General features: G+C 37.3%; 1 long non-coding RNA gene across 1 annotated transcript in view; it reads left to right on the top strand.

Moving 5' to 3' along the window:
- Positions 1 to 15991, top strand: part of MGC4859 (uncharacterized LOC79150) — a 330125-nt gene that overhangs the window by 207888 nt on the left and 106246 nt on the right. The window contains exon 2 of the long non-coding RNA NR_147499.1: positions 10480 to 10575. This is a non-coding gene — a long non-coding RNA (uncharacterized LOC79150). The remainder of the gene's footprint in view (positions 1 to 10479; positions 10576 to 15991) is intronic.

Below are 15991 nucleotides of genomic sequence, written 5' to 3'. Positions count from 1 at the left end.
TGATAGTTTTTTTATTTTATTTTATCAAAGCAACACTTTGAAGCACATTCAGAAGTTAGATCTGGATATGTGATAAACAAATCGCTTTCCAACATCAGCAGGGACTTCCTCTTTTGTCTGAAGTTGCTAGGATACTATCTTAAAGAAATAACTCATTTGATTAACTGCAAATAGAAATTGCTTTTTTTTTAAAAAAGTTCATACATTTATAATAGCCTAGGTCAGGCATAAATCTATACTACCTAAATGTTAAGCATATGATCTTGATGACCCTCTTGAATATTGGAAGAAAAGCCATTATTTTTCTTCATCTAATGCATGACACAGATGACTTTTAGCTCTGTTTCACCATAAAAATGAAAATATTATTGGTAAAGGGATACTTTATTTTGCTTTATTCTTGATTTTATTTCACATTGTGAGGGTCAAAATGCCACATGCAAAACCACTTTGAACCTATAAAATAAATATACAAATCTAATAATTTTAGAAAAGTTATGTCATTACTGACAAGTGAAAGTCTTGTCTGTTACTCATGTCTGTTACCTATTACCTATACCTGTGCATTAGCATTTGATTCCATATTTTATTCTGCAATAAAAAAGTTTCATAATATCATGGCAGTGGGCATTATTATATATGAAAAAAGTCATGTCTGAGGGGCAGTGAAAAATCTTCCTTTGGTCACAGTTTGTTTATAGAATGATACTAGTCTTGGTCTTAATATGAACATTGCAAAGCAACTCTATTATGTAATAATCTTGCCTTGTTTTTATATCTTGTGGAACTCAAATACCAAATACCACCTATGGACATGTAAGACAAAAGCCAAAAAGGTTACTTAAAACAGTATTTATGGTAGAATCATTTATCCAAATAAACTAAAAACTGTCAATTTACTTGTTAGCTGTTCCCTCATGAGAAACAAGAATTTCAAATGCCCTACACTATGTAGATTTTCCAAAAGCATCGTTGGCTTGCTCTATCCTGAGAGAAGAGTGATGAACAGTAGTAGTGTCCCCTTATATGCAATTTCACTTTCTGTGGTTTCAGTTATCTGTGGTCAACCATGGCCTAAAAATATTAAATATAAAATTTCTGAAATAAGCAATTCATCAACTTTAAATTGCTTGCCATTCTGAGTACCATAATGAAATCTTATCTGTCTTCCTCTGTACTGCCCTGGATATGGATCCTCCCTTTGCCCAGCATATCCACGCTGTCTACCCAAACTGTACTATTAGTAACTTAGCAGTTGTCTCCCTTACCAGATTCACTGTCATGGGATTGCAATGCTTGTCTTAAGTAGCCTTTATTTTATTTAATAATATCCCCAAAATACAAGAGTGGTGATGCTGGCATATTGTTTTACTTGTTCTATTCTTTCATTAGTTATTGTTGTTTATCTCTTACTATGCCTTATTTATGAATTAAACTTCACTATAGGTATGTATGTACAGGAGAAAGCAGTACATTTAGAGTTTTAGGCATCCACTGGGGGTCTTGGAAAGTGTCTCCCTCATGTAAAGGAGGACTACTGTGTTCTACCAGGGTGTTTCCTGCAGGTGTAGCACTGACAAGGGTGAAATTTGTAGCTTGTGATTATAAAATACAGCTTGAAAGCATTGAGACCATAGAAAATCCACATGCATAAACTGCAGAAGCATATAGAGAATAAATGTCCAGGGCTTAACTTTCCTGTGGCTATTTTTCAGCTGAAGATCCAGGCAAAAGTTGGAAATAAATGCAATTTTCAAGTTCTGTTCTAGGGTAACTTAAGTTGAGAGTGAGGAGAGAGCGAAAGAGATAGAAATAAGACTAAATAAACAAATTTGTAGTAGTGGAAGTACAGGCTTTCTGAACAATGTGTTCGTGAGTGTGTCTGAGCTAGACAGGAGTGCAGCTGTGTACCTGCAGGGTACAGTTCCTTGATATTCTGTCTCCAACTTTGGGTGAGTAGTTAAGGAGGAATGGCATATCTGTGCATGCTAGTTTGTATCAAAACTTTTTTAAGATTAAGGAAAAGTCTTCTATCTAATATTTAATTATTAAAGTGATATTGGAAATTTGCATCCCTGAAATATGAATGTATTTTATAATTTATCTCTGATACTTATTTACAAAGCCATATGAAAAATCAGTGTTGGATCATAACCATAATAGTGCATTTTGGTTTGGTTAACAAAATGCTGCTAATTACCTGTGTAATCTGGGCAACTTTTCTGAACTTTAATTTTCTAATCCATAAAATGAAGTAATGCTGCCAACTTTGTGGATTTGTTGAAGACTTAAATGAGAACACATGAATAAAATGCCTAGAATGATGCCTGACATGTGGTATTTTTAATGCAGTCATGTGTTTCAGAGCGGGCCTCCTGGGGCACTGTTTCCAAAATTGTCTTACCTCCGACCACTCATTCTCTATAGAAATATACATTAGAGTCACCTTATTGTCTACAACCATTCAATGGTTCTTATCGCTCTCCCAACTCTTAGTCATGCCCCTGTAGCCCCGTAAATCTGGTCTCTGCCCCAGTTCTCTAAACTCACTTTTTTCTGCTCTCCCCATTGCTGTCACACAGACCTCCAGTTTGTTTCTTGAGCGTGCAGAGCATTTGCTTGGTCTTTAGGCCTTTGCAGCCACTCTTCTCTAAACCTAGAAGTCTGGTGCCCGCCAAGTTCTTCATATGGCTGCTGCCTCTAAAATATCACCTTGGAGAATCTTTCCCCAGCCATCCATTAAAGTATTTTCCCCTCTTTAATCACTCTTTAAAAATATCACCTTGGAGAATCTTTCCCCAACCATCCATTAAAGTACTTTTCCCCTCTTTAATCACTCTTTATCACATGGCCCTTGTTATTTCATTTATAGTAATCATGACAATCTGAAATGACCTTGTTTTGTGTTTACTATGTTTTATCTGTCTCCTTCCACTAGAATGTAAATGTCAAAAGGGCAATGACCTTGTCTGTGTATTCACTGCTGTTTTGCTGGGGCCTAGGATAGCAGTTGGCACCTGATAAAAATGGAATAAATATTTGTTGAACATTTCACTAATGATACACATTTCAGGAGAAACAGAATGGGTGATTGGCAGCAACATATTTGTGAAAGAGAAATTCTAAAGGTTTATTCTGAAACAGGATCTTGTAGCAAACTACAAATACCGTAAAGCATATCTTTGCTTTGTCAGGTAGATCCAAGTCCTTCATATACTTGTAGTTTTTTGAAAACAACTTTATTGAGATATAATTCACATGCCAAAAAATTTGCCTGTTTAAAGTATATAGTTCAGTTGTTTTTAGTATATTCACAAATATGTGCAATCATCGCTACAATTTTAGAACACTTTCATCACCTCAGAATGAAGTCCTGTATTCTTTACTTATCACCCTTCTATTCCTCCACACTCTACCCCAGCCCCTAGTTGCAAGCAACCACTAATCTACTTTCTGCCTCTATAGATTTCTTTATTCTGAATTTTATATAAATGGAATCACATAATATGTGACATTTTGTGACTTGCTTCTTTTTTTTTTTTGAGACGGAGTCTCGCTCTTTTCGCCCAGGCTGGAGTGCAGTGGCGCTATCTTAGCTCACTGCAAGCGCCGCCTCCCGGATTCACGCCATTCTCCTGCCTCAGCCTCCCGGGTAGCTGGGACTACAGGTGCCCGCCACCGTGCCTGGCTAATTTTTTTGTATTTTTAGTAGAGACAGGGTTTCACCGTGTTAGCCAGGATGGTGTCAATCTCCTGACCTCGTGATCCGCCCGCCTCGGCCTCCCAAAGTGCTGGGATTACAGGCGTGAGCCACCGTGCGCGGCCGTGACTTGCTTCTTTACTTAGCCTAATGATTTGAAAGTCTGTTCATATTGTGCCATGTTATCAGTACTTTATTTTTTATAGCTGAATAATATTCCATTGTATGAATATGCCATGTTTTGTTCATTATTTCTCTGTTGACGAGCATTTGGATTGTTTCCATCTTTTAGTTATTATGAATAATTCTGCTATGAGAATTTATGTACAATTATTTTATTTTATTTTATTATTATTATACTTTAAGTTTTAGGGTACATGTGCACAATGTGCAGGTTATTACATATGTATACATGTGCCATGCTGGTGTGCTGCACCCATTAACTCGTCATTGGTATATCTTCCAATGCTATCCCTCCCCCCCTCCCCCCACCCCACAACAGTCCCCAGAGTGTGATGTTCCCCTTCCTGTGTCCATGTGTTCTCATTGTTCAATTCCCACCTAGGAGTGAGAACATGCAGTGTTTGGTTTTTTGTCCTTGCGATAGTTTACTGAGAATGATGGTTTCCAATTTCATCCATGTCCCTACAAAGGACATGAACTCTTCATTTTTTATGGCTGCATAGTATTCCATGGTGTATATGTGCCACATTTTCTTAATCCAGTCTATCATTGTTGGACATTTGGCTTGGTTCCAAGTCTTTGCTATTGTGAATAGTGCCGCAATAAACATACGTGTGCATGTGTCTTTATAGCAGCATGATTTATAATCCTTTGGGTATATACCCAGTAATGGGATGGCTGGGTAGAATGGTATTTCTAGTTCTGGATCCCTGAGGAATCGCCACACTGACTTCTGCAATGGTTGAACTAGTTTACAGTCCCACCAACAGTGTAAAAGTGTTCCTATTTCTCCACATCCTCTCCAGCACCTGTTGTTTCCTGACTTTTTAATGATCGCCATTCTAACTGGTGTGAGATGGTATCTCATTGTGGTTTTCATTTGCATTTCTCTAATGGCCAGTGATGGTGAGCATTTTTTCATGTGTTTTTTGGCTGCATAAATGTCTTCTTTTGAGAAGTGTCTGTTCATGTCCTTCGCCCACTTTTTGATGGGGTTGTTTGTTTTTTTCTTGTAAATTTGTTTGAGTTCATTGTAGATTCTGGATATTAGCCCTTTGTCAGATGAGTAGGTTGCGAAAATTTTCTCCCATTCTGTAGGTTGCCTGTTCACTCTGATGGTAGTTTCTTTTGCTGTGCAGAAGCTCTTTAGTTTAATTAGATCCCATTTGTCAATTTTGGCTTCTGTTGCCATTGCTTTTGGTGTTTTAGACATGAAGTCCTTGCCCATGCCTATGTCCTGAATGGTAATGCCTAGGTTTTCTTCTAGGGTTTTTATGGTTTTAGGTCTAACGTTTAAGACTTTAATCCATCTTGAATTAATTTTTGTATACAGTGTAAGGAAGGGATCCAGTTTCAGCTTTCTACATATGGCTAGCCAATTTTCCCAGCACCATTTATTAAATAGGGAATCCTTTCCCCATTGCTTGTTTTTCTCAGGTTTGTCAAAGAGCAGATAGTTGTAGACATGCGGCGTTATTTCTGAGGGCTCTGTTCTGTTCCATTCATCTATATCTCTGTTTTGGTACCAGTAGCATGCTGTTTTGGTTACTGTAGCCTTGTAGTATAGTTTGAAATCAGGTGGCATGATGCCTCCAGCTTTGTTCTTTTGGCTTAGGATTGACTTGGCGATGCGTGCTCTTTTTTGATTCCATATGAACTTTAAAGTAGTTTTTTCCAATTCTGTGAAGAAAGTCATTGGTAGCTTGATGGGGATGGCATTGAATCTATGTCCGAGATAATTTATAGATTCAATGTACAATTTTTGTGTAGGACATATTTTTATTTCTCTTGGGTATATTCCTAGAGTGGAATTGCTGGATCGTCTGGTTACTATATGTGTGTTTTAGAAACTGACAGACTATTTTCCAAAGTCATCTCTCTTTTTAAAAACATTTTGGTCAATCTAGCTAAATGTCAATTTTCTTGATCTATTCAGAGAAACAGCTTTCAGTTTCATTGATATGTTTTTCTATTTTCTATTTCATTAATTTCTGCTCTAATTTTTGTTATTTTTTGCTTCTGCTTGCTTTAGGTTCAGTCCCTACTCCCCCACCCGCCTTTTTTTTAGTATCCTAAGGTGGTAGGTTGGGTTATTGATTTGAGATCACTCTTTCATCTTAATAGCTTTAAATTTTCCTCTAAATGTTGCTTTACCTGCAATCCATAAATTTTGGTATATTATGTCTTCATTTTTATTCATCTGAAAGTATTTTCTGAACTTTCTTTTGGTTTCTTCTTTGACCTATTGGTTATTTAGGAGTGTGCTGTTCACATATTTGTAAGTTTCCTCCATTTTTTCTAATTTCATTCTTTGGTGGTCAAGACATATACTTTGTATTATATCTATCCTTTTCTATTTGTTGAGATTTGTTTTATGGCTTATCATATGGCCTATCCTAGAGAATTGTCCATGTGCTTTTGAGATGAGTGTATATATTATTGTTGTCGGATGGGGTGTTCTCTAGATGCTTGTTAGGTCTAGTTGATTTATAGTAGTAAGTCTTTAATTTCCTTGTTGATTTTCTGTCTAGTTATTCCGTCTGTTCTTGAAAGTCAGGTAGTGAGGTCTCCAACTATTGTTGTTGAGTTTCATTTCTCCTTTTATTTCTGTAAGTTTTTGCTTCATGTATTTTGATGCTTCATTATTTGATGCGTATATACTTATAATGGCTATATCTTCCTGAAGGACTGAAACTTTTGATTATAAAATGTCCCTGTTTATCTCTAGTACCACTTATTGTTCTCAACTCTATTTTGTCTGATATTAGTATCACAATTCATTTCCAGCTTGCTTGTGGTTGAATTTGCATGATATTTCTTTATTCATTCTTTTAATTTACTTATGTCATTAAATCTAGAATGTGTTTCCTATAGACAGAATATAGTTGGGTCATTTTTTTTTTTTGTAGTCTTACAACCCCTGCGTTTTTATTGAGTTGTGTAATGTATTCATACTTAATGTTGTTTATTATTATTGTAGTTGTATTTACATCTACCCTTTTACTTTTCATTTCTATATGTCTCATGCCTTTTTTGTTGATCTGCTCTTCTTTTTCATTAAGTAAATGTTTTTTATCTGGCATTTTAATTTCTTTAATGATTTTTTTCACTATATTTTTTGATATTTTTATTTTAGCGGTTATTCTCGGGCTTGCCATATACATCTTAATTTATCAGAATCATCTTTTGGTATGTACTAGCTTAATTCCAGTGGTATATAGATATAGAAATATTACCCCTATAAGGCTATATTCTCTTATCCCCCTTTTTTGTGGCATAACTGCTATACATTTATACCAATTAATATTGCAAACCAAATGACACATTATCATTATTATTTTGTTATATTTAATTAGTTCCATAGCTTAATATACCTTCGCTACCACACATCTCCTTTGTGCTGATGTTGGTAAATATATTACACATATATTACAATTCTTTAAGTTATAAGTCCGACATTATGTTGTATACGTAGTTATTTTATACCATTGCTTTTTAAATCAGTGATAAGAAGAAAGAAACTTAAGCATGTATACTTTTATTTTTGTTCCTAATTACTTTTACCAGTAGTTTTCTTTGGTCTTATGGATTTAAATTACTAGCTGGGGTAACTTGCTTTCAGCCTGAAGAACTTCCTTTAGTATTTCTTTTAAGGTAAATCTACCTGCAATGAATTGCTTTTGTTTGGTTGTAATATTTAAAGTGAACTGTAACATTTATGCACACATTTCATAAGAGTAATAATTTAGAAGTCTCCACAACAAATTGAAATTTTTATTGACACATAATAATCTAGCCATGTCCAAGATTTATAGTAATTCAGATATTTGAATTTACAAGTACATTTTAATTGGCTGAAGTTTTTGCATACATTGGGCCGGTAAACATATTTGGATCCTGATTCATCCTACTTCTTTAGGCCACAGAAATGTCTCACTGGCAAGGAAAGGAAAGAGAAATGAATCTTGTAGAGAGGGCTCCATTTAAAAATAAGTCTCAATTTCTCATTTGATTTTGATAGAAATGTGTTAAAGCTGGATGATGGAATTAACACCAAGTCCGATGTGAGAAAAAACAAACAAACAAAAAACAACTTTTAAGGCTGGGTGCGGTGGCTCATGCCTGTAATCCCAGCAATTTGAGAGGCTGAGGCGGGTGGATCACCTGAGGTCAGGAGTTTGAGACCAACCTGGCCAACATGGTGTAACCCTGTCTCTACTAAAAATACAAAAATTAGCTGGATGTGGTGTTGGGTACCTGTAATCTCAGCTACTTGGGAGGCTGAGGCAGGAGAATTGCTTGAACCCGGGAGGCAGAATTTGCAGTGAGCTGAGATTGTGCCACACTCCAGCCTGGGCAACGTGAGCGAAACTCCATTTAAAAAAAAAAACCTTTATCCGTGAAATGTGAATCCTTTAAAATTTTCAGGCCCAGAGAGGCCTTATGATGAGATAGCAATCAAGTCCTACTCCCCCAGACCCCACACCTTTTGAGCTATGTACTATGTATTCATCCCTTGAAACTGCTATTTCCACAAGTAGCTGTAAATTAACCTAATAATGCTGTACTGGGCACTATAACCCAAACCCTATAGCTTAACAATGTATAGCCAATCAATAGTATATGTTATTTAATGTAAATTCTTTGTAAACAACTCAGAAACTGCTTCTTTTTGTTTAAAAATCTGCTGGTGACTACTGTTAATAGAAATGTATATTCAGAGAAACTTGAATCTATGCCCCTGGGTTACAATCTTCAAGCTTGGCCCAAATAAACTCTGTACTTTTATTTAAAAAAAAAAAATGCCTCATTGAAATTAATACACAGATCTTTTTACATAGAGTTTGTGTCTCTGATGACTGTGCAGAAGTGGGTAGCATCAAAAGTATACCCAAAAGCATTTAAAACACTTGTTTTATTTTGCTAAAGGTTAGATTTCTGACTTTGACAGTTTATATATTTTTTCAGACCAAAAAAGACACATTAAAAAGTTATATACTTATCAAATTTATATATTTGATTTCAGGTAGTATTATATCATTTCTAGTAATTATTCAGTTGGTACTGATAGGATTATTTAAGAAGTCAAATGGAAAGTCTAGAGCTGTGAATACTTTCTATTGTGTTGTGGAGTATTGTATGTGAAGACAAATCTACATGTGCCTGAAGGCAAATTTAGTCTTTTATTTGTTATCTGAGAACTCTGAGTTTGTTGGTATGCATGGAGTACTGCTTTAATACTTATATTTAGTAATTTTATTAATGAAAGGCAATATCCTGAGGGGCAATGATTCTTATATCCTCTTTTTAATATTAATTGATTTAATATATTGCCAACTCTAATACTGATCCTTCCAATCCCTTGAGTGGCCTTTCTGAAGTAATCTGACATGTTTAATACATTATAATGATAATAATGACAATTACTTGGTTTTCTTTTATGCATTTCTTCTGAGGAGCTCAAAGCACCTTAGGCCTTTTTTATATAATTAATTTTTATAAAATATTTATAATTTGGTAAAACTCACATAGGAGAGGATATACACTTAAGAAAGAGCAGTATTTCTATAACCCAGAGCTAAGATACCATGGTCTAATATTAAAAACATATTGAAATATTTAAGTTGTATTTTCATGTGAGTCTCTGGGTTCCACATAGGCTCTAGGCTAAAATTTTGTACCCATTTTCTACTTATTTTTTCTTTATCTACCTCTTGCAAACTGAGATTTCCAACTCAACTGACCAATTCCAGTAAACATTTTTGTTAGTCAATAGACAATTGTCCAATAGAAAATTTCATTCAAACATGTTAATTCTATAGTAACATTAAGAATCAGTCCTTACTATACCTAATTTTGAGATACTGTGAGTAAATAAGATTAATATATATATGAAGTCACACATATACACAGATACACATAGGCTTAGAGATAGTTCAGTAAAGGGAGGATAAAGATTCTTTTCTAGACTCAGTGATACAGGAGGTAGACAGAAATTATTTAGGCAGATAGTGAGGGTAAGAGTCCTCAGCAAAGCTTCTCTTCTCACAAAAAGCAGCACAAGAGATTATTTTTTTCCTAGCAAAGAGCAGCCTGAAAAGTTGAACTGCAAACATAGAGAAACAAGCTGGGAGCTTGGATGGGCAAATGCTGCCAGCTGTGCCAACAGAAAAGGGCTACCTGGGGGCCAGGCATATCCAGTGTGGAGGGTCCATCTTCCCTTTTTTTGTTACCACATGTACAGTAAATGAATGGCAACATGTTGCTGGCCAGGCAGATAATCCATCTGCATAATAAAAGACTAGGGTGGGGGTGGCCAGAAATTCACACCCTGTACAAATAGCATGCCTAGTCCTAACCAGTTTTTTGAGCCTTATGCAAATGGTATACCTGGTCTAACCAATCTTTTGTGCCCTATATAAATTAGACACTGCCTTCTCAAGCTCATCTATAAAACCTCCTGTATTTCACCACAGAACTGGCAACCCATTTCTCTGGGACCCCTCTCTGCTGCAGAGAGCTCTTCTCTTTATTTCACCTATTAAACTTCCACTCCTAACCTCACTCTCTGTGTGTCCACATCCTTGATTTCCTAGACATGAGATGATGAACCTCAAGTACCACCCCAGACAACAAGGCTGCTTCATCAGGACACAAACCTGCCTGTACCAGGACCTCTGACCTGTGTGCAGGTATGTGAATGTATAGATAAATGCATTTTTGCTTTAAGAAATTGGTGTGCTACATGGCAAGATATATGTAAGTTTTGGTGGAAAATAATCATTTCAATATATAATGGTAAGGAAATACAACATATTATAAAGAGAAGATTTAGTCAGATATATGATCATGAAGACTTTGACAAATCAGATTTCATAATTTAAGAGAAAATGTAACTATGTTACTTTTATGGGATGAATAATGTTCCCCCCAAACCTATATGTTGAGGGTCTAACTTCTAGTACCTCAAAAACTGACTGTATTTGGTGATAAATCTTTTAAAGGAAATTAAGTTAAAACAGGGTCATTAGGATGGGTCCTAATCCAATACGACTGATATCCTCATTAGAAAAGGACACACAGACAAAGGGATGACCATTTAAGGGCACAATGAGAAGGTAGCCCTCTGCAAGCCATGGAAAAAACCAAACCTGCTGATACCTTGATCTTGAACTTGAATCCTCCAGAATGGTGAGAAAATAAATTTCAGTTGTCTGAGCTACCCAGTCTGTGATAATTCATATGACAACCCTCTCAAACAAATACAGTTACTAAGATGACAGTTTGTTTAAGGAAATTCAGCTCAAAAAGAATGGAAGACTCCAACAAGTACAATTGTCAACAATCTCAGAAGGAAGTGTAAGTAGTTAATTCTATATATCAGCTTGACTGGGCTAGTGGGGCCCAGATTAAACACTAATTCTAGGTATTTCTGTGAGGGTGTTTCTGGATGGGATTAGCATTAGAATTGGTTGACTCAGCAAAGTAGATTGTCCTCCCCAATGTGGGTGGACTTCATTGAATTTGTTGAGAAGGAGAAGAATTCTCTCCTTTTTGCCTCCTGCCTTCCTGTAGAGTTGGGACATTAGTCTTCACTTCCTCACTTGGATTGAAATTTACACCATAGGCTTCTTGGTTCTCAGGCCTTTGGACCCAACCTGGAATTATACCACTAGCTTTCCTGGGTCTCCAGCTTGCAGATTGTGGGATTCTCAGCCTCCATAATTGTGTGAGCTAATTTTGTATAGTAAATATCTTCATATATATGTGTCTATGTGTTTGTGTGTGTGTGTGTATATATAAATATATGTGTGTATATTTATATATCCATATCCTATTGGGGATCCTGTATATATATCCTATTATATAGATACACGTATGTATTATATACATGTTGTATATGTATATACAATATATCTATACACACATACACTCACACATACATACACACATACATATATACTTTATTTGTTCTATTTCTCTGGAGAACCCTGACTAATAAAGAAAGAAAGCTCTAAATCTAACAAAAGCAGAAAAAAGTACAGTAAGAGAAGCATAATTCATATGAAAATATTCCACAATTACAGTTTTATTATATCCTGTGTTTTTTCTGTGTGCTGTTACTAGTGTGTTTTGTAACTTCAGATGATTTCTTATTGTTCACTAACATCCTTTTCTTTCAGACTGAAGAACTCCCTTTAGCGTTTCTTGTAAAACAGGTTTGGTGTTGATGAAATCCCTCAGCTTTTGTTTTTCTGAGAAGGTCTTGATTTCTTCTTCATGCTTAAAGAATATTTTCATCAGATACACTACTCTAGGGTAAAAGTTTTTTTCCTTCAGCATATTGAATATGTCATGCCACTCTTTCCTGGCCTGTAAGATTTCCACTGAATAGTCTGCTGCCAGACATATTGGAGCTCCATTGTATGTTATTTGTTTCTCTTCTCTTTCTGCTTTTAGTATCCTTTCTTTATATTTGACCTTTAGCAGTCTGATTATTAAATGCCTTGAGGTGGTCTTTGTTGGGTTAAATCTGCTTGGTGTTCTATAATCTTTTCGTAATTGAATATTGGTATCTTTCTCAAGGTTTGGGAGGTTTTCTGATATCCCATTGAGTAAACTTTCTACCCCATCTCTCTCTACCTCCTGTTTAAGGCCAATAACTCTTAGATTTGCCCTTTTTGAGGCTATTATCTAGATCTTGTAGGCATGTTTTATTGTTTTTTATTATTTTTTCATTTTGTTTCCTCTGACTGTGTATTTTCAAATAGCCTGTCTTCAAGCTCATTAATTCTTTATTCTGCTTGATCAATTCTGCTATTAAGAGACTCTGATGCATTCTTCAGTGTGATGGTTGCATTTTTCAATACCAGAGTTTCTGCTTTATTCCTTTTTATTAATTCTATCTCTTCGTCAAATTTATCTGATAGAATCCTGAATTCCTTCTCTATGGTATCTTGAATTTCTTTGAGTTTCCTCAATACAGCTATTTTGAATTCTCTGTCTAAAAGGTCATGTATCTTTGTTTCTCCAGGATTTGTCCCTGGTGCCTTATTTAGTTCAATTGCTGAGGTCATGTTTTCCTGGAGGGTTGTTTGTCTGCATCTGGGCATTGAAGAGTTAGGCATTTACTGTAGTCTTCATAGTCTGGGCTTGTTTGTGCCTGCCTTTCCTAAAAAGGGTTTCCAGGTGTTCAAAGGGACTTGAGCCCCAATACCCTAATATCACTGTGGTTCTTGCAGACTCATAGAGGTACCACCTTGGTGGTCTCTGATAAGATCTGGAAGAATTCTCTGGACTATGAGGCAGAGACTGTTCTTCTTTTCCCTTACTTTCTCCCAAACAGAGTCTCTGTCTCTATGTTCAACTTCCTGGAACTGGGGATAGGGGGACACAAGCACCCCTGTGGCCACCAACATTGGAACTGCACTGGTTAAGACCTGAAGCCAGCACAGCATGGGTCTCATCCAAGGCCTGCTGAAATCACTACCTGGCTACCACTTAAGTTCACTCAAGACCCTAGGGCTCTACAATCAGCAGGTGGCAAACAGCCAGGTTTATGTCCCTCCCTTTAGGGCTGTGAATTCCCCTAGGTCCTGCTTGGGTCCAGAGATGCTGTCTGGGTGCCAGGGATTGAAGTCAAGAACCGTAGAAATTTACCTGGCCTCTATTCTATTGCAGCTAAGCTGGCATTCAAACTACAAGACAAAGTCCTTCCCTCTCTTCCTTTCCCTTTCCACAGCCAGCGGAGCCTCTCTTTGTGGCTACCACCACCACTAACCCATGGGTGGTTCTGCCAAGCCACTGCCAGTGTTCACTTAAAACCAAGAGCTCTTCAGTCATCTTAGGGTGAATGTTGGCAGGCCTGGGACTCACCCTTCAGGGCAGTGGGCTCCCTTTTGGCCAAGGGCAGGTCCAGAAATGGTGACCAAAAGCCTAGGCCTGGACTCAGGTACCCAAGAGCCTGCTTGATGCTCTATCGTACTGTGGCTGAACTGGTACCTAAGGTACATGACAGAGTTTTCTTTACTTTTCCACCGCTTTTCTCAAACAGAAGGAGTCTTTCACTGTAGCCATTGCAGCTGTGTTGGGGTACATATGGAGCTAGCACATCTCAGAGCCCATCGCCCATGGTGTACTGCTTGGGTATCATTGTTGGCTATTCAGGGCCCAGAGGCTCTTTAGTCAGCAGGTAATGAATCCTGTCAGGTCTCTATTGCGACAGGGCAGCATTGCGTTCAATGTGAAGTCCCCCAGTTGCTGTGCTTTCCCTTTTCCAAGTGAACAGATTTCTCCACTTTGTGTGGTGCCTGCTGGGTGATGGGGAAGGGATGGCACAAGCACTCCCTTAACCATCCTGACTGGTACCTCATTAGGATGCATTCCCCTGCCCCCTACCACCACCCAGTCTACTGTCTATGTTCCCAGCCCAGAATTAGAACTTGTTTAGGAATTACAGTCCTTGTAGCCTAGACTGCCCTTCAAGTTTACTTAGGGCCCGAGAATAATCCAGCCCTTGGTGGCAAGGCTTCCTGGAAATCAAGCTCCAGCAATTGGGGTGGATGATTCCCCTCTGGCTAGGGCCAGTCCAAATGCTCCCGCGGTGGGCGGACGTCAGCTCAATACAGCCTGGTCCTGCTTTCTGCTATGTCAGGGCAGCACTGAGTTCAATGCAAAGCCTCACAATTGCTGTGCTCTTCCTCTCCCAAGTGCCCAGATTCTTTGAGGTGCCCAGTCTCACCCTGGGGATTGGGGAAGGATAGAGTTGGTGATTCAATGTCTCTTTCAGTGATGTGAAGTTAAAACCAGGTACTGTGATTGCTCAAGTGATTTTTGGTTCTTGTGATGGTGCTTTTTGTTTGTAGTTGTTAAAATTTGGTGTTCCTGGCCGGGTGCGGTGGCTCACGCCTGTAATCCCAGTACTTTGGGAGGCCGAGGCAGGCGGATCACAAGGTCAGGATTTCTAGACCAGTCTGGCCAACATAGTGAAACCCTGTCTCTACTAAAAATACAAAAAAATTAGCTGGGCGTGGTGGTGTGCGTCTGTAATCCAAGCTACTCGGGAGTTTGGGGCAGGAGAATTGCATGAACCCTGGAGTCAGAGGTTGCAGTGAGCTGAGATCGCGCCATTGCACTCCAGCCTGGGCGACAGAGTAAGACTCCGTCTCAAAAAAAAAAAAAAAAACCAAAAAAAAAATCTGGTGTTCCTGCAGCGGGGACAAACAGTGTAGGCTTCTATTCAGTCATCTTGCTCTGCCTCCTCAATTTGTTTATTAGTTCTTACAATTGTTGGTGGAGTCTTTAGGTTTTTCTATATATAAGATTATGTCATCAACAAATTGTGACAATCTCACTTCTTTCTTTTCTATTTGAATGCCTTTCAGTTTTCTTTTGCTTAACTGTTCTGGCCAAGAATTTCAGTATGTTAAACTTGATCTTTGTCGTGTTCCCAATGTCATAGGAATGGCCTTTAACTCTTCACCATTAAGATTTTAACTGTGTGCTTGTCATATATGGCCTTTATTGTGTTGAGGACCGTTCCTTTTGCACCTACTTTGTTGAGAGTTTTTACCATGAAATAACGTTGAATTTTGTCATATGCCTTTTCTAAATATATTGAGATGATGATATGGTTTCTGTCCTTTTTGTTCTGTTAATGCGATATATCAAATGTATCAATTTATGTGTGTTGCACTAGTCTTGCATTTTAGAAATAGAGTCCTCTTGATCATGGTGAATGATCCTTTTAATGTGCAGACACATGGTTTGCTAGTATTTCGTTGAGGATTTTTGCATCTATGTTTATCATTGGTATTGACTGTAATTTTTTTTTAAACATGTACATTTACATTTCCAACTATAAACTTCTCCTTAGTACTCTTTACTGGATCCCATTAATTTTGGTGTGTTTTTATTTTCATTTGTCTCAAGGTATTTTTAAAATTTTCTTGTTACTTATTTGACTCACTGGTTGTTTAAGAGTGTGTTAATTTTCTTATGTATTTGCGGATTTTCCAGTTTCCTTGTACTATTGATTTCTAGTTTCATTTCATTGTCATTGGAAAAGATACTTGTGTGATTTCAATCTTTTTGTATTTGTTAAGACCT

This window comes from Homo sapiens, chromosome 7, assembly GCF_000001405.40.
Source record: "Homo sapiens chromosome 7, GRCh38.p14 Primary Assembly".
Taxonomy (NCBI): Eukaryota; Metazoa; Chordata; class Mammalia; order Primates; family Hominidae; genus Homo; species Homo sapiens.
The sequence above is the reverse complement of the archived record's forward strand: the minus strand, read 5'-3'. Positions and strand labels throughout refer to the sequence as shown.